The sequence below is a fragment of the Homo sapiens genome, chromosome 2 (assembly GCF_000001405.40).
Source record: "Homo sapiens chromosome 2, GRCh38.p14 Primary Assembly".
NCBI lineage: Eukaryota > Metazoa > Chordata > Mammalia > Primates > Hominidae > Homo > Homo sapiens.
Window position 1 is genome coordinate 238,507,554 of NC_000002.12, and position 18,408 is coordinate 238,525,961.

At 50.0% G+C, this 18,408-nt stretch overlaps 1 long non-coding RNA gene across 1 annotated transcript in view, besides 4 other annotated features; it reads right to left on the bottom strand.

The window, feature by feature from the left end:
* Positions 1,439–2,126: an enhancer, noted in NCBI's record as "NANOG-H3K4me1 hESC enhancer chr2:239417633-239418320 (GRCh37/hg19 assembly coordinates)". NCBI's record gives its function as "activates a minimal SCP1, AML or CMV promoter by ChIP-STARR-seq in naive H9 embryonic stem cells {active_cell/tissue: H9 hESC(naive)}" and the evidence as "EXISTENCE:reporter gene assay evidence [ECO:0000049][PMID:30033119]".
* Positions 2,127–2,812: an enhancer, noted in NCBI's record as "NANOG-H3K4me1 hESC enhancer chr2:239418321-239419006 (GRCh37/hg19 assembly coordinates)". NCBI's record gives its function as "activates a minimal SCP1, AML or CMV promoter by ChIP-STARR-seq in naive H9 embryonic stem cells {active_cell/tissue: H9 hESC(naive)}" and the evidence as "EXISTENCE:reporter gene assay evidence [ECO:0000049][PMID:30033119]".
* LINC01107 (long intergenic non-protein coding RNA 1107) overlaps positions 3,137–18,408 on the bottom strand; it is a 44,810-nt gene continuing 29,538 nt past the window's right edge. Inside the window, exon 3 of the long non-coding RNA NR_037809.1 lies at positions 3,137–4,393. This is a non-coding gene — a long non-coding RNA (long intergenic non-protein coding RNA 1107). The remainder of the gene's footprint in view (positions 4,394–18,408) is intronic.
* Positions 10,078–11,277: an enhancer, noted in NCBI's record as "MED14-independent group 3 enhancer chr2:239426272-239427471 (GRCh37/hg19 assembly coordinates)". NCBI's record gives its function as "activates an origin of replication core promoter dependent on BRD2, BRD4, P300/CBP and CDK7 cofactors, and independent of MED14, by STARR-seq in HCT116 cells {active_cell/tissue: HCT116}" and the evidence as "EXISTENCE:reporter gene assay evidence [ECO:0000049][PMID:35650434]".
* Positions 14,960–15,868: an enhancer, noted in NCBI's record as "H3K4me1 hESC enhancer chr2:239431154-239432062 (GRCh37/hg19 assembly coordinates)". NCBI's record gives its function as "activates a minimal SCP1, AML or CMV promoter by ChIP-STARR-seq in primed H9 embryonic stem cells {active_cell/tissue: H9 hESC(primed)}" and the evidence as "EXISTENCE:reporter gene assay evidence [ECO:0000049][PMID:30033119]".

Below are 18,408 nucleotides of genomic sequence, written 5' to 3' on the forward strand. Positions count from 1 at the left end.
TGTTGGCCAGGCTGTTCTTGAACTCCTGACCTCAGGTGATCTGCCTGCCTCAGCCTCCCAAAGTGCCAGGATTACTGGCATGAGTCACCATGCCCGGCCACTCTGTGTGTCTCTTTCTAACACATACACACACACGCACACACGCAGACACACACACACATCCCATCCCTCCATTTTTCCAGCAGCATCTCACCATTTCACCAAGATGAATAGTTAGCGTTTACTATTCACAGCCAAGCCATTAGAATAATATGACCTCTTACCTGAACAACTTTTGGTTTTCTCCGGAGTTAATGATGTTTTCATTTGCATTGTTTTTATGTGTTTATCACCACGACAACCCCAGCCTCTCCCGTAATTGTAGAAATGTCCTTACAAACCATGTCTCTGTTTCCTCTTCGTGAAGAGCGTACTCCTGACACCATGGACCCTGCTCCAGGGAAGGTGGCTGTTGGGCGGTGGTCTTGGCTGGGGATGTCCCTGCCCCTGCACCCCCTCTGCTCCTGGCTGGGGCTGAGTGGTCTCCATTCTGCCTCCCAGCTTCCCTCTCTGCTGGCTGACCTGCTGGCTCTCTGGTGGCTCCTATCCTCCAGGAACCTCTTGAGAAAGGATGCAAAGGTGGTGACCTGGGAAGATCTTGCAGTTCTGAAAATATCTTTCTTTTCTACAGTTTGGGCTTAGAATTCCAGAGTGGAAATCATTTCCCTCGGAATTTTGCGGGCACTGCTCCTCGGTTTGTGGCTTTTTTTTTTTTTTTGAGACAGAATCTCACTCTGTCGTCCAGGTTGGAGTGCAGTGGTGTGATCCTGGCTCACTGCAACCTCCACCTCCCAGGATCAAGCAATTCTCATGTCTCAGCCTCCCAAGTAGCTGGGATTACAGGGGCACACCACCACACCCGGCTAATTTTTTTGTATTTTTTTTTTTAGTAGAGATAGGGTTTCACCATGTTGCCCAGGCTGGTCTGAAACTCCTGAGCTCATCCAATCCACTCGCCTCAGCCTCCGAAAGTGCTAGGATTACAGGCATGAGCCACCGTGCCTGGCTGGTTTCTGGCTTCTGAGGTTGTGGCTGAGAAGTCCCAGCATCTTCCTAGTTCTCAATCCATTGTGAAACCTCCTTGTTTTTGTCTGGAAACTTGTAGGAGCTTGTGTTTGCACCAGGGTCCTGAATTGCCACAGGACGAGTCTCTGAGTGGGTCTCCTTGCACGCCGCCCACAGGGCATCACGGAGCCCTTTGATGCCGGAAAGAAATGCCTCGGCTTTTCTTCCAGCTTTGTCTTTCCTGTAACTTGCTGCTGGCCCCACTTTTGTTCTCTGTCAGAGCTTTCCTCAAAACTGGGGTGCTCCTTGGCTGTCTGCTGTCACCTAAGAGAGAGATGTGAAAAAAACATGTATAAGCTGTGTGTGTGTGTGTGTGTGTGTGTGTGTGGGTGGGAGTAAAGTTGCCAGATTTAACAGCAACAAAAATTACAGAAAGCCCAGTTATATTTGGAATTTTTTTAGTGTAAGTATGTTCTAAATATTACATAGGGCATACTTATACTAAAAAATGATTTGTTGTTGATCTAAAATCCACATTTCTCTGGGTCCTGTGTTTGACCTGGCCACCCTAGGTAGGGTTGCCCTTCAGTAGCTTCAGGGTAGGGTGTTGGAGCAGTGCCTGGGGCTGGAGGGCTGCGGATGCAGCCACATCTTTAGGTCTTTCCTTATTGGAGGGGCGAGTCTGACTCAGCCCTGGGGAGCCCGCTGGAATGGAGGTGCGGGTCTGTGCACAGTGTGTGTAAGATCTGTTTACTCTGCTCGCCCTGTCCGCTCACCCTCAGTGTCACCCTCTCCAGGGAATGAAACAGTTGGTCTTCTGATCGGACACAGGGGACAGAGAGAGCCTGAAGCATCTTACACAGGCCTCCGACCACCCCTCTGCATGTGGCCCCCTTCCTGACCTCCAGAGGCAGTGGAGCCACCCTCGCCTGCACCTCCCAAGCCTCCCCCAGGTAGCCAGGCTGCTTCTGGGCTGCATGGGCTCCTGGCTGAGGAGTCAGCTTTCTTGGATCTGCTGGGAGTTCCCCTTGCACAACCCTGGCTGCTGCAGCCTCTCCTGGCTCTCTTTGTCTTTCTGGATTAATGCCATTAAAAGTCCCCTGCTGCTCCCTGCACTGGGCTTCTGGAGCGGGTGATTAAATGCTTTTGTTCCTTCCACCATCTATAGGAGCCCACCCTGGTTTCATTCCTAAGCTGGCCTGCTCTTCCCAGGGTGTGTTTCGTCAGCTGCATCTCCGAACAGCAGTAACTGCTGCCGTGTCGAGGCACTTCCCTCAGCCATCCTGGAGGTACGACCCAGGTCCCCAGTTTTTAGGTGAGAAAAGTGGCTTCAGTGAGTCCGTGGCTTCAGTCACACCCCAAGGTCCCACAGCGAGGGAGTGGGTGCAGGGCCCCTGCACTTGACTTCTGACCTGCTGCCCTTCTGGGGGTCTCTGTTAGTTCTCTCTGGTTGGGGCAGTTGGTCCTCCTCAGTTTCTGATAACACAGCTGGGTGGGCCTGCCTGGTGCCCGCTTTGCAGCTTGCTTGCTGGGGCAGGTGGTGGAGCATGAGCACCCATTTAACCTACTAGAAAGGGGTCCCTGGAGGTGGGTGCCTCAGGGAATGGGGAGAGGCAGGGGCTGTGCCCACCCTCCACCTCCCGGCCACCCCAGGCCCTTCTGTGCCACGGCCTGCTGGGGTGGGGGTCAGCATCGCAGATTTCGGAAGGCCTTACCACTTGGCTGCCCTCCTTCGGGTTTTTCATCTAGATTTCTTTTGGGAGGAGTCTAGATACTTTTAGTTTTTAAATAAGCCTTGTATCTTCTCACTCTTTAAACACCACAAAATGGGTGGCATTATTGAAATACAAAAACCTTCTCCAAACTATAACTTTCCTGTGCACAATGGAGAAGACTGATTGTGAAAGTGGAGCAGGTGTTTTCATGTTGTGCGGACTTAGTGTAAACAAACTGAGCAATGTGAGTAAGCCCGAGCGCCCCTTTGCTCTCATATTTGTGTCTAATGCTGACAGTTTTGTGGAAAAGCTGTTTTTATGATTCTGAAGTACCTGCACCCCTCCCTTGTGTAAAATTTAATCACATCTTATTGCATCGGGTATTAACACTCGTAGTTTATTGAGGAGTTTTCTCTGGGGCTTGCTGAGCATGGGGTTGTGAAATGATGCCTGGGTGCCTGGGAGGAGGGATCTGAAAGTCCAGACACCATACGCAGGGAATGAAATATTCCCCCGAATTCCGGGAACACACCAGCTCCCAGCGTCGAGGTTCCCATCTGGAGGGTCTCACCTCCCAAGGTAACAGCATCATTTTCCCAGCTTGAAGAGTGAGGTGTGAGACTCGGAGCTGGCCTTTCCTGTCTCTCCCACTGTGAGGGGCATCCATGGAGCTGTGTGCGAGCTGCTCCCGGAGCTCCTGGGATCAGATTCCAGGGGATGTGCTCCAGCCCAGTGGGGGCAAGTCTGCAGGGCCACATTCAGACGTGACAGCACCGGGGAGGGCCACACCGTGCATGGCCCTGTGGGGCAGGGCACCCCCGAGAGGCCACCTGGGGTTGGCTGGCAGATGGTTCCATACTCCACTCTCATCAGCACCTCTCGGGGGAGGACTGGGCCCTGGGAGAGGCTCTTGCAGGGAGGAGGGAGTCTGGCATACCGTGAAGGACAAACAGTGAAGTGGCTGCGCCTGCAACGTCAGACTGGCCTTCCAGAAGAGTGGCCAGGACCCCTGCCCGGTGTCCAGCAGCAGTGGTGAGGGCAGGCCTGGGTGTCCAGGAGCAGGAGATGCGGGGCAGAGGAGCCCTCAACGAGACCCGTGTTCTCTTGCGTTCGAGCAAGACCCCAGGCAGCGGCATGGAGGTCGGTGAAGCTGGACAGGCGCTTCCGTCAGGAGCTGGGAGGCGTGGGGGGGCCCTCTGTGGATCGGGAGTGTGATGGCCCTGTCTGGAGCTGGCAGGCGGGGGGCCCCTCTGAAGGTCGGAGTGTGATGACCCTGTCTGGAACTGGGCAGCCCCCGATCCCTGGCACTTCTGGGCATAGAGGACGCCTTGGCTGCTTCAGGGGTTGGCCTCAGCTACTCTTCCGGCCGTACTGGGAGCGAGGCAGGCTTGGGGGGGGCGCTGGCTCAGGAGCCCTGCCTGATGTTCTGTGATCATCTTGGGGACAGTCCCCTCAACCAGGTTGGTGGCCACCCTGTCTGGGTGTTGGGTGCCAGGCACTCGACTCCACTGGGCAGCAGAGGGGACAGAGCTTCTAGGTCCAGACTGCCGCGCACAGATGAGGCAGGTAGAATGGCGGCCCCGAGAGTGATGTGTATCCAGAAGGTGAGAATGGGACCCCATGGACAAAAGGGTCTGCACAGATAAAATTAAGGATCTTAAGATAATCTTGGATGAAGATGAGCCCTGAATCCAACAGCAAATGTCCTTGTAAGAGACAGAAGAGGACAGACACAGACATGAGAAGGCAATGTGAAGACAATGCCGGGTATGGGAAAGATGGGGCCACAGCCAGGAGTGCTGACAGCCCCCAGGAGCCAGAAGAGGCAAGCAGGACCCTCCCCAGGAGGGCGCACCCTGTCCACAGGTGTGCTCTCACCTGCAAACCTGCAGTCATCCCCAGGCCAGGGACCTCTTCCTGGGGAACTCAATTCATGATAGGCTGTAACTGGGCTTAGGGCTGGAACCATGCTGCAGAAGGTAGGGTGGGCTTCTGACCACCGGCTGAAGTGTTCTGCCTGGATGGCTGGGCAAAGCCCATCGTTCTACTGAGGCACAGACACCCAGCCCCGCCTTGTGCCAAGCCCTGCACTTTCGCGTCTGGAGCTGCTCCCATCCCACTGTGGCTGCTGGCTGAGGGCAGTGAAGGTACTGGAGGAGAACCAGCACCCAGTGAGGGATGATGTCATTTGCAAGGTTTCATGTGGGCAGAGACTTTTTTATTTGTCTGCCACACATTTTGCGCACTCTTTTACTTTCAGCTTTTCTGAGTTTGTTTTGTTTTAGGGCAGGAATCGGCAATGTTTTCTGTAAAGGGACAGATAGTAAATATTCTAGGCTTTGTGAGCCATTTGGTCCTTGTCACACATACTCAACTCTGCTGTATTTTGAGAAAGCCACAATGGGTGTGGCTGTGTTCCAATAAAACTTTATTTACACAGGCAGGAGGTGAGGCTGGATTTGGACCAAAGGCAGTTTGCTGAGCCTTAATGGCTGTAATTTTTATTTTTATTCTTATTTATTATTATTATTATTTTTTGAGACAGAGTCTCGCTCTTGTCACCCAGGCTGAAGTGCAATGGTGCGATCTCAGCTCACTGCAACCTCTGCCTCCCTGGTTCAAGCGATTCTCCTGCCTCCGCCTCCCTAGTAGCTGAGATTACAGGTACCTGCCACCATGCCTGTCTAATTTTTGTATTTTTAGTAGAGACAGGGTTTCACCGTGTTGGCCAGGCTGGTCTTGAACCCCTGACCTCAGGTGATCCGACCACCTCAGCCTCCCAAAGTGCTGGGATTAGAGGCGTGAGCCGCCGCGCCCAGCAGGGGCTGTAATTTTTAAATCACAGTGCTGATTTTCAAGAAGGTTGAATCTGAGTGTTTTTTTCCTTAAAAAGTTTAGTGTGGCAGATTAAAGATGGCCTCAAAGTCTTTGACATTCCTTCTATCAGGAGGTGGGGTCAACTGCCAACTCCCCACAAGTCTGGAAAGGTTCTATGACTTTAAAAAAATAATGGCTTTGTTGATATATAATTCACCACATGTGTCTAAGCTGATATCTCATACAACTTAGTCTGCTGTGGTCTGAATGTCCATGTGTCCCCAAAATTCGTATATTGAAAACTTAATCACCAAAGTAATGGTGTTAGGGGTGGAGTCTTTGGGAGGTGATTAGGTGAATGGGACTAGTACCCCTTTAAAAGAGGCCCCAGAGAGCTAGTCTTCTTCCTGTTTTCCACCACGTGGGGGCGCAGCTAGAAGGTGCCATGTGTCAACCAGAAAGTGGGCCCCTAGCAGACACTGAACCTACCAGTGCCTTGATTTTGGACTTCCCAGAACTGTAAGAAATACATTTCTGTTGTTTTTAAGCTACCCAGTTGTTGGTATTTTGGTCTAGCAGCTTGAACAGACTAAGATGCACCCCTTTAAATAATACAATTATGTGCTTTTTGTACATTCACAGAGTTGTGCAACTGCCATCATGGTTCATTTGCTAACATTTTGATTCTTCTTATGAGAGACGGGACTAGCTGGATTTCCTAGGCCGACTAAGAATCCATAAGCCTAGCTGGGAAGGTGACCACATCCACCTTTAAACGCAGGGCTTGCAACTTAGCTCACACCTGACCAATCAGGTAGTAAAGAGAGCTCACTAAAATGCTAATTAGGCTAAAACAGGAGGTAAAGAAATAGCCAATCATCTGTTGCCTGAGAGCACACGGGGAGGGACAATGATCGGGATATAAACCCAGGCATTTGAGCCAGCGATGGCTACCCCCTTTGCGTCCCCTCCCATTGTATGGGAGCTCTGTTTTCAGTCTATTAAATCTTGCAACTGCGCACTCTTCTGGTCCGTGTTTGTTACGGCTCCAGCTGAGCTTTCGCTCGCTGTCCGCCACTGCTGTTTGCCGCCCTCGCAGATCTGCCGCTGACTTCCACCCCTCTGGATCCGGCAGGGTGTCCGCTGTGCTCCTGATCCAGTGAGGCACCCATTGCCGCTCCTGATCGGGCTAAAGGCTCGCCATTGTTTCTGCACGGCTAAGTGCCCGGCTTTGTCCTAATCGAGCTGAACACTAGTTGCTGGGTTCCACGGTTCTCTTCCGTGACCCACAGCTTCTAATAGAGCTATAACACTCACCGCATGGCCCAAGATTCTATTCCTTGGAATCCATGAGGCCAAGAACCCCAGGTCAGCAAACAAGAGGCTTGCTGCCATCTTGTAAGGAGCCCACCACCATCTTGGGAGCTCTAAGAACAAGGACCCCCCCCCCCACCCCCAACACTTAGTTACCACCTCCTTAGCTTTAGCCTTCCCCACAGACCTAAGCAACCACGAATTTACTTTGTCTCCATAGATTTCCCTGTTTTGAACCTTTTATATGAATGGAATTACGTAATATACAGCCTTCTGTGTCCAGCTTTTTCCACTCAGTATAATGCTTTCAGGGTTCATCCATGTTGTAGCATGTATTGATACTTCATTCTTTTTTATGGTGGAATAATACTCCATTGTATGGACAGACCACATTTGGTTTATCCATTTGTCAGGTGATGAACATTTGGATTTCTAGAAATCCTTGTGGGTGTGAAGTGGTATCTCCTTGTGGTTTTGATTTGTGTTTCCCTGACGACAAGTGATACTGAGTATCTGTTCATGTGCTTACAGGCAATTTGTATTTCTGGTTTGGAGAAATGTCTACTTAATCTTCTTAACTCATTTTAAAATTGGGTTATTTGTCTTTATTATTGAGTTAGAAGAGTTCTTTATGTATTCTGAATACAAGTCTTTTATCAGACATGTTATTTGTAAGTATTTTCTCCAGTTCACTGAGTTATTTTTACTTTCTTGATGGTGTCCTTTGAAGCACAAAAGGTATCAATTTTGATGATATAAGGGAGAAAAACATCAAGTCTTTCACAGTCAAGTATGAACTTAGCTGTAAGTTTTTTGTAGATGCACTTTATTAAGTGAGGAAGTTCTCTTCTGTTTTCTAGTTTGTTGAGTGTTTTTTTTTAATCGTGAAAATGTGTTGAATTTTGTCAAAAGCCTTTTCTGGTTCTATTGAGAATATTATATGACTTTTGTTTTTTATTTTATTGATATGATGTATTATATTCATTTATTTTCAGATGTTGAACCAAGCTTGCATTTCTGGGACAAATCCCACTTGGCCATGGGTGTATGTGTAACTCTTTTTATATGTTGCAGACTTAGTTTGCTAGTATGTTGCTGAGAATTTTTTTGTTTATATTCATATGAGATATTGGTCTGTAGTTTTCTTGTAATGTCTTTTCTGGTTTTGGCATCAGGGTAATAGTGACCTCATAAAATGAGTTAAGAAATGTTCCTGCGGTTTTTCTGTTTTTTGGAAGAGTCGTGAAGAATTCATATTAATTTTTTAAATGTTTGGCAGAATTCAGTGATAAAGCTTGGGTGGGCCTGGACTTTTCTTTCTGGGTAATTTTTGAATTACTAGTTCAATCTCTTCACTTGTTATAAGTCTATTCACATTGTCTTCTTGAGTCAGCTTCAGTAGTTTGTGTCTTTCTAGGGATTTGTCCATTTCATCTAAGTTATACAATTTGTTGGTGTATAATTGTTCATGGTGTTCCTTTACAACACTTTCTATTTCTTCAGGGTCCTTAGTTATGTCCCCATTTTCATTTCTGATTCTAGTCATTTGAGTCATTCCTCTTTTTTCTTAGTCAGTCTAGCTAAAGGTTGGTCAGTTTTGTTGACCTTTTCAAAGAACCAGCTTTTAGGTTTCATTGATTTTCTCCACTGGTTTTCTCTTCCCTGTTTCTCTTATTTCTGCTCTAATCTTTATTATTTCCTTCCTTCTGCTTGTTTTCAGTTGGGTTGGCTCTTATTTTTCTTATTTTCTTAGGGATTATCTACCACTGGGGTTTGCAAGTGGAACGTTAGATTATTTATTTCAGATCTTTGTTCTTTTGTGATCTAGCATTTATAGCTAGACATTTCCCTCTAAGCACTGCTTTAGTGGCATCCTGTAAGTTTTGGTATGTTGTGGTTTTGTTTCACTCAGTTCAAAGTATTTTCTAGTTTCCCTTGTGATTTTTTTCTTTGAACCATTGGTTATTTAGGAGTGCATTGTTTATTTTCTTCAGTTGGTTTCCTCCAGAGCATTGCAGCCTTTCCTGACTTCTGAGTGACTTTTTTCTTTTAAAAGATAAGAATGGCAGATTAAAGATGGCCACAACTTCTTTGACAGTCCTCTCTTCAAGAGTTGGGGTCTATGGTTCCCTTCCCTTGGAATTTAGACAGGCTCTATGACTGTTTTGATCAATGGAATGCAGGAGACTTGATACTGCATGACTTCTAAGGCTAGACTGAAGAAACTTTGGTGCTTTTACTTTGGTATCTTAGTGCTCACTTGAAAGGGGATGAGGGTAGGCAGCCATTATGTGAGAAGTCCAACTACCTTGAGGCCACAATTCTATGATGAACCCAAGCTAGCCATGTCAAGAAGCCACTTGGAGAGAGAGAGAGAGAGAGAGAGAGAGAGAGAGAGAGAGCGAGCTGTCCAGACCCTAGCTATTCCACCCATATCATCCCGGGTGCTAGGATCACTAGACCGGCAGTAAAAGAAGTCACCTTGGTAATTTCTGTCACATCAAAGCTCTTGCTTCATCTAAACATCCATCCAGAGCTACAGGACTGGGAGACTTGTCGGGAAAGAACTGCATTGTTGGAGGTTCAGGAAGGACTGATGTAAACCAGTAAATTGTTTCCCCAGAATCCTGCAGGATTTCATGGAATTAAATACCCTCACAGACTCAGAAGGTTCAAATGGAAACATAAACAGTTCATCATACATACTTGATGGGATAATGGTTAGCTTCTTTTAAAAATGCACCAAATCTACATAAGTTACTGAGAATCCCCAGAGGATGCCATGTCAAGAAGAATCAAGGCCCACACATGTGACACGACTTGAGCTGTCCCTGCTATCTCCTATTTCAGCAGAATGAGTCTGCCAACATGGTAGGGCAGAGACAAGCTTTCCTCTCTGTGCCTGCCCTGACTCCTGACCTGTAGAATTGTGAGCATAAATAAAATGGCTTTTATATTGCTAAGTTTTAAGATGGTTTGTTACCCAGCAAATAGAAACTGGAACAGTGTATTTGTCCCATTTATATTTATTGTTATAATTACCAATTGACTTCAATTTCAGGTGCTTCAGTTTCTTCATGTGTAAAATGGAAATAAGACTATTAATTCAATTTAAGGATTAGGTAAGATTATGTACAGTACTTGCATATATATTTATATGATTTATATAAACATTTATATAAATATGTGCTTTATGTATATAAATAAACATATATACATATATAAGGTACTTAAAAAGTTAGATGAAAAAGATATCTACATGTCTAAATTTTTACATGTTTTCTTTCATTGACTTGAGAATATGAGAACAGTTTTTGTCTCCACTTTAATTTCTTGCCATGTTCTGAAGTGCTCTCTTTATCTGCTTTTTTACTTTGCTGTATTTTCATTTTGAAGTTTTGTATAGCTTAAGGTGCTGGAATTCTTTTATTTACTCATCTTGGAGTGACGGGAGTTTCATATGGGTTTTCCATTTGCCCCAAACTAGAGAGAGCAAAAGTCCTTGTCCTGTATGCCTGGGCCCCGCGGCTCCTTTTAGTCCGGACTTCGTTCTCTGTGCACCCCCACAGCGGGTTTGCTCTAGGGTGTCTGTCATGAGCTGGTGGTTTTTGGTGATTTCAGCATCCTTGAACTTTTCTTTATTTTTGGTAGTAGTGGGTAAGAGGGAGTATGTTCTGTGGTGCGATTTGTGTAAGAATGTATGACATGTTGGTAAGTGTGCAGCATTATGCCATTTTTCTTTCTTTCTTTCGCCATCCAGGGTGAAACAAAACCCTGCCTCAGCCCTGGAATTTACCGGAGCTCGTTTATGGGAAATCTCCTTGGTCCCTTCAAGGGGCAGCTGTGTCTGTTGGCTCAAGCGACAGCACTTCTCTCACATCAAAGCTCTTGCTTCATCTAAGCGTCCGCCCTGCTACGGGGGTGGGAGGCTCATCGGGAAAGAATTCTCGTTTTGTCAGAGGTTTGGGAAGGACTGACGTGAATCAATAGACTGTTTCCTCAGAATCCTGCAGGATTTCAGTGGTTTCCACAGAATTAAATACCATCTTAGACTCAGGGGGTTTAAATGGAAACATACACACTTCGTCCGATGTACTTGATGGGATAATGGTTAGCTCCTTTTAAAAACGCACCAAACCTACAGAAGCTACTGAGAATCCAGCAGGGGTCATCTCAGTTCCTGGAGAGGAGAGGTGGGAAGCTTGTTTTAATTAGACTTGGACTTGCTGTCATACACATGTCTGCATCTGATTTTCACTCTGAGCACTTCCGCCTCCCCAGGCAAACGGAGGGTCGGAACGCTTGATGTGAGAACACATTTCACGCACACGCTGGTGTATTTACTTACACAGACACGCACTGCACACACATGCAGACCTACATGCTTTCCTGGGCTCGTCATGTGGGGGGCACATTGCAGCTCCTCCTCCCACTCTGCTCTTTGTGGAGAGCTGGGTCGTCTTGCTATTTATTTTTACACAGAGGAATTCATCAATCAAACATCCAACTTTGAGATCCGGCCTATCAGGAACTATTCCTGCAATGCCAACTCAGCGCTTTCATCTCCACCCTTGGCCTCGTTGTGCTATTTGGACAAAGATCCTGTAGCCTTTCTTATCCAGAGGGAGCAAAGGAGAAGTTGGGGTGTTCTTACCGTCCTGTGGAGACCCTGCTGCTCAGGGGTTGGATCTGCTCTCTGGAGGTGCCCCCTCACCCCCCTCCCACCCAGGGACTCTGCACCGGCCGTGGTGGTTGGGCCACTAAACCTGGAGGTTCTTGGGGATTATCTACCACTGGAGTCTGTGTTCAGTTTTCAGTGCTGGGTCCCTGGTGATCTGTTGGAGATCACAGAGCCCCTCCCTGGAGGTTTGTGCACACACCTCCTCACACGTGCGTGCACACGCTACTTCTGGTACATGGGCAGTGCTGGTCTGGCCTTGCTGTTAAAGGCCGAGAAGCCAAGGCCCAGGGTGGGTATGTCAGTCTGTTGGTGCTTAGTGATGTGGCCTGGACTGGAAGCCAGCTGGCCAGGCACCTGTATACCCTGCCTTTTGCATGCTGGGGCCGCTGTCTCTTAGCCCTGGCTTTCCTTCTTACCTTGAATGAGTCTTTCCTTGCTGCCATTTCAAGAGGCCTGGCTTGGCACCCAGTGAGGGTTGGCTGGGCCCCTGGCAAAAGCTTGTGGGGAGGCTTTACTCAGGCCAGGTTTGACCGGTCCCAGGGGTCCCACCCACCCCACCTCACAGAACTCTCACTCACCTGTGACCCTGCCGTCTGGGGGCCCAGCCACCGGCAACCCTGGGCCACAGAGGCGACCCCAGCAGCAGGCACTGCTCTCCCTGTGGTCCTCCTCCTTGGAACCTGCCCTCCCTCAGTGGAATTCACAGGGATATACACATTTTTAGGCTCTTCTTGGGGGTGAGGCTGTGTACCAGGTAGTCATATGGCCTCCTTTAATTCTCAACATAACCATTTGGGGAAACTCAGGCTCAGACAAGCTAAATGACATGGCCAAGTTGATACAAGTCTAAATAATATAGCCAGGCCTGGAGCTCCAGCACACTTGCTCCCCCTTCTCTATTCTGTGTTTGAAAAGACACAAAGCAGGGACTTTGTGTCACACCGCCCTGCACCCTGATCACAGGGGGAGAAGGGAGGCAGGGTCTCCTTGCTGTGACTCCCAGAGAGAGGTGGGGGAAGCTTGCCATTCCCCGGAACTTCCCAGCCTGTACAACCATGGGCTAAAGAAACCTGTTTTTTTTTTAAATAATAAATTATCCAACACCCATTCTAGCAACACCCAACAGACCATATAGATGGGAAGGCGAATTACAATGGAAACAAACAAACAAACAAACAAAAGAAGCAAATAGCTATTAGCAAAACTGTCCATAAATGAGATGGGCTGACTCAGAGAGTTGCATGTTCTCTGTCACAGGAAGACCACTTGAGAGTGATGATGGTTATGGTGGTGATGGTGATGGTGATGACAGTGATGTGGTGGTGATGGTGATTATGGTGGTGATGGTGACAGTGGTGGTGATGGTGATGGTGATGATGGTGGTGATGGTGATGAAGGTGATGTGATTGTGATTATGGTGGTGATGGTGATGGTGACGGTCATGGTGATGATGGTGATGGTGGTGATGGTGATGATGGTGATGGTGATGATGGTGGTAATAATGATGGTGGTAGTGGTGATGGTGGTTGTGATGATAGTGATGATGGTGGTGGTGATGGTGGTGGTGATGGTGGTGATGGTGATGATGGTGATAATGATGGTGATGATGGCAGTGATGGTGATTATAGTGATGACAGTGATGGTGGTGGTGATAATAGTGATGGTGGTTGTGATGATAGTGATGATGGTAGTAATGATGGTGGTGGTGATGGTGATGATGGTGGTGATGGTGATGGTGGTGATGGCAGTGATGATGATGGTGATGGTGACAGTGAAAGTGACGGTGATGATGGTGGTGATGGTGATTATGGTGGTGATGTGATGGTGGTGGTGATGGTGATTATGGTGGTGATGGTGATGGTGGTGATGGTGATGGTGACAGTGATGGTGATGGTGGTGATGGTGATGGTGGTAATAGTGATGGTGGTGATGGTGATGGTGGTGATGGCAGTGATGATGGTGATGGTGGTGATGGTGATGGTGACAGTGATGGTGATGGTGGTGATGGTGGTGGTAATAGTGATGGTGGTGGTGATGACAGTGGTTGTGATGATAGCGATGGTGGTGATGATGGTGTTGGTGATGATGATGGTAATGGTGATGGTGGTGGTGATGAAGGTGATGGTGATAGTGATGGCGATGATGGTGGTGATGGTGATGGTGATGGTGAGAGTGATGGTGTTGGTGATGGTGACAGTGATGGTGTTGGTGATGGTAACAGTGATGGTGATGTGATTATGATAGTGATGGTAGTGGTGATGATAGTGATGGTGGTGGTGATGATGAACTTAAACATTCTTAACATCCTTAATGTTCATGTTATTTTAACAATGAACAAAGCATTCCTTTCCATACCCAACTGATACTTGCACCAGCCCTTTGTGGGTGTGCTCATGTGTGTTAACATCCAGCAGAGTGAATGAGGCTGAAAGATATGGTCACTGGTGTACCAGAGGCAGAGTCAGACTTGGCTCAGGCCTTTCACTCCCAGCCCAGGGCTTTGTCCCCCTTGATCTGAGAGTGGCAGCACCTTGTGCAAACCAAAGGCATCTGGAAAGGCTTTTTCTGTGGATCCCACTGCACAGGCCTGTGGCTCGGGAAAATGTGGCCACAGCCTGCACCCTCAGGCCTGGGACAATGTGGGGTGAGGAGCGGGTTTGCAGGAGCACGGTGTGGGCAAGAGTGTTTCCGTGGTGGGAGCCTGTGGTCGTGTATCTTGAGACCTTCCCCTCCCACAGTAGCAGCAGGGGGACAGGTGACGCTGTTTCCCCAGGATGGGCCACGCCAGTCTCGAAGACCTTATCCTGGCATTCTGCGGACCTTTCCACTTTGCAGCCTGGCCCTTGAGTGTGGAGGCTGCCCTGGGTCCCTCCATTTCCAGGCTCTGCTTCCCCACATTTGCTGTGGCCTCCTCCCCTGCCTTTGGCCCAGACGGCCCTCCTGACGTCTGACACCAGCTGGCTGTATCCGCCTGCCCTCTGCCTGGTCATTCCTGCCACCTGTTTCAGTCATGGTAAACTAAGTGCTTCCAAAGCAAAGCCCCTCCCAGATGGCACTCATGTTCCTGCCAGGCACCTTGTCTGGAGGGGCCCGCATGCCACCACCTGCTCAGGGGTGTGCAGTCCCAGGTCCTGGTGACTGTTCTTCCCCGTTCTTCTCAGAGCTGCCTCCCCCTCCTCTTCGGCTGTGGCCCCCCTCCCATTTTGGGGTACAGCAGCCTCTGCACTAGCTGCTGCCTGCAGCCCCCCAACTGGCCGGTCAGCCTCTCACACTTTGCAGGTGGGTCCCCTCCCTACTGTCTGCCCTGCATGGCTCCTGGGCTCTCAGGGGGATGTACAGTCCCCTTTAGTAAATCTTCTTTTCTGCCTCTTTGAGGTTTTCGCTCTAGCCACACGGGCTCCTGAGTGGTCCCCAAATGTCCTCAATCTCTTGTGTCTCCAGGTACCCCCAGGCTTCATCCTCTGCCTTAACTGGTCTTCCTTTTTCCTTCACTTGAGAAACTCCCTCCATCCTTTGGGCTCAGGTGGGTGTCAGCCTGGGAAGCTGCCATCCTGACGCCCATTCCTCCCTCTGGTGGGCACCCCAGTGTCCTTCCATCAGGGTCTCTGTCACAGCCCTTGTTACACTAATGACAATTGAGGGCAGGGGTGGCATCCATTTACTGTCTGGCATGGAGCAGGTGATCAGGGTTCTTATGGGGTGTGTAAATACAGGAGGGAGAGAATGAAGAATAAAAGGAACTGGCCCCGGTCACATGGCTCCTCATGGCAGAGCTGGGATTTTCATCATTCAGCAAGTGTCTGCTGCGTCCCCATCTGGGCCCAGCCCTGAATTCAGAGCCAGTGCCACAGAAGCCAACCAGGCAAGCAGAGGTTCAGCCTGCCCCGGGGCATGCAGGCAACTGGAACGCAGGCCTTCAGACTCCTAGTTCAGTGCTCTTCCTGACATGCTGCAGGAGGGTAGGGGGCTAACACGACCTGCGGGGGACGCTGCACCTTCAGCTTGAGTGAAGTGCAGTTGAGGGCCCAGCAGCCCTGGTGACTGGTTGCACTGTGCTCCAATCCGTTGGGGACCCCAAGCGCTCTGCATTATCTACTTCTTGTCTCTAAGCGGCCACTCTTAAGCGGTGAGGAGAAGACAGTGGGCCGGCTACCCATGCATGAGGTGAAGGCCTGCGGGAACAGGAGAGGGAGCTGCTGAGCGGCTCTCAGAGGGCTCCTGGGCCGGGTCCCTGCCTTGCTCCCATCAAAGGGATGGCTCTGCAGTGACAGCACAGAGCATCAGACACATGCCGGCCCGGTGGGGCCAAGCCAGCCGCGCTATTAAGCAACAGCACCAGATCCCTTTGTTTCTCCGCTTCTTCCAAAGTGGCAAAAGATCAAGGCCCTGAGCTTGAAATAACAAAAGGGAACTAGCTTGCAGACTGCGCATCTGGAGGCCAGAAGGAGTTTAATAGCCGTGCTCAGGAGGGAGAGGGGAGGGGCTGGACGCCGGCTCATAAACTCTTCGCTGTGGCTCCCCAACCTGCTCTGCTCAGGCTCCCCGCGCCCGTCCCTGGTCCCGCGGCAGGCTCCCGCTTCGTCATTCGCGGGGCAGGTGGCATACCTTGCCCATCAGCATGGGCACAGGACGTCTGGGCCTCTCTGCAGGTTCCCCATCCCTGCCAGCGCCCAGGTCTCCCTCTCTCCTCTCGGCCCCTTGCTCCTCTCAGAGTCCTCAAGTCCCCGGGTTAATGAGGATCTACTGCGGGGTCGTGGGAGTCTGACCAGTGACATGTGCAGACACATGTCTGTAATTACTCGGGGCTGAGGAAAGCCAGCCCCCGGAGCTCTGTGGCCTTCCCCATAGACAGAGCTGAGCCGGGCGGGCCTCCCGGGGGAGGAGAGCCATGCAGGGCATCACAGCACCCACGGCCATGGTCAGAGGCCTGACCTCAGAGGCGGAGGCCTCTCACTCTCCTGTGGGTCCCCTGGTCTCTGACCTTTGGGGGTGTTTGCAGTGAGGAGCTTACACAGCACATGGTTCTGTGGGCTGACGTCTTCTCTGTACAACTGGTGAGAGGGGAGCCTGGAGTCCTGGGGGAGTGGGGCGGGTGGAGGGGGCTCCCTGCTGCCGTGCTTGATACTCACCATGAGACACCACCATGAAACTCACCCAAAGGCACCAGCTAACAAGGACCAAAAGGAAATGTTCACGAGGGGCTGCAGCCCATGCCAACATGATGTGGTGCCATCTCACAGCATTTGCCCCAGGCTGGGCCCACTGCGGTCACATCCCTGAAGGGCCTGGCCAGGTGGCGTTTCCGTCCCTGTTGGACAGAAAGCGGGTGGGTTGTTGTTTGAAGTCACACAGCTTGTCAGAGTCAGTGCTGAGATTCGAATCTGCACCTCCCTGACAACTCGGGCTTTCCCGAACCCCTCATCCCCTGAGATCCCAAGCAAAGGAATTATCCAGCCTGGTCCAATCCTTTCTTGGTGCATATTTTCCTAAAAGGCAATTTGGAACCCGTCACTTCCCACCTCAAGAGCTGGCTGAAGCTCCCCTTTCTTGGCAGTTCTTTTGGATGGCTGGAGTGACAGATGACCCGGGAGGCTGGAGTTGGTCATGGTGCAGCCCCCAGGGGCAGGCGGGCAGAACCGATGGGCACGCATGCCCTCTCTCCTGAGCGGGTGTGTGAACCCCAGAAGCTGGCTGTCCAGGCTCCTGGGCGGTGCTGACTGTGGGCTCAGGCCACCCATTGGCCTTCATTTGTTGGGCACAAGTGATCAGTTTGCCCTATCTCTAAGGTGCTTCTGCCAGGGGAAGGGGAAGGAAGTGAGGGCTGACACCTGGCTCATCGGTACCACTCGAGCCTCGTGGACTGGAGTTGCCCTGGGCTCCGCTGGACACATTGTACATTTTCAGGCTCCTCCAAGGAGCAGGATGTGTTTCCCCTTGCGTAGAATGGAGCTTGGGGCTTGTGCTTGTTCAGCCAATAGCTCCGTGGGGCCAAGGGAGAGGTTGGCCCTGTGGGATCCCCTGGTTCCTGAACTGCAATTCTTGGGTCACTTTTTACTAAGCAAAATTACTGGAATATCCTGGATGTTAGGATGTCCTAGGAGGCTTTATCCTGGGGTGACTTTGCACCCTCCCAAGCCTTTGTTTCCTTCCTTTGTCAAGCTGGTGACCGGGCACTCCGTGTGTCTTTCTGTGGCCGCAGGTTCTTACTATGGCTCCCAGGCAGGTCACCCCATGACTTAGGGAGCTGTCGCTAGCTGAAGCCTGGTCGGGGGCAGGGTGGGTGGTTCAGCCAAGCTCTCTATATCTATTCTAGAGGTCCCAGGAGGTCTGCTGTGAGCCCCATCACAGTCCCATGCCCCTTCCTGCTGAAAGTCACAAATGTTGCCACGCATGAGTTGTTGCTGAGGCTCCTCAGGGAAAGCCCGTCCCACGCCGGTGCTGCCCTTGGCTTCTCCCTCCGTTTTGTTCTGGCGTCGGTGTGATAGGTTCTACTTACATCCTCCAGAATTAGGCAACATTCTCTATTTCTAGTGCTCTAGGAAATATGTTCATAGTTCCATACTTACTTTGTTAATTTAATGGGATTTGTGGCAGAAGATGTAAACGCTTCAGTCTGCCATTTTGAATGGGAAGTCAAGTGAATTTTAAAGACAGGAAGAAAGGCTACAATTTGGCTGGGCGTGGTGGCTCATGCCTGTCATTCCAGTGCTCTGGGAGGCCGAGGGGGGAAGATCGTTTGAGCCCAGAGGTTTCAGACCAGCCTGGGTAACATAGTGAGACCTTGTCTCAAAAAAAATTATATTAAAAAAAGAGTACAGTTTAAGGAACCACACAAAT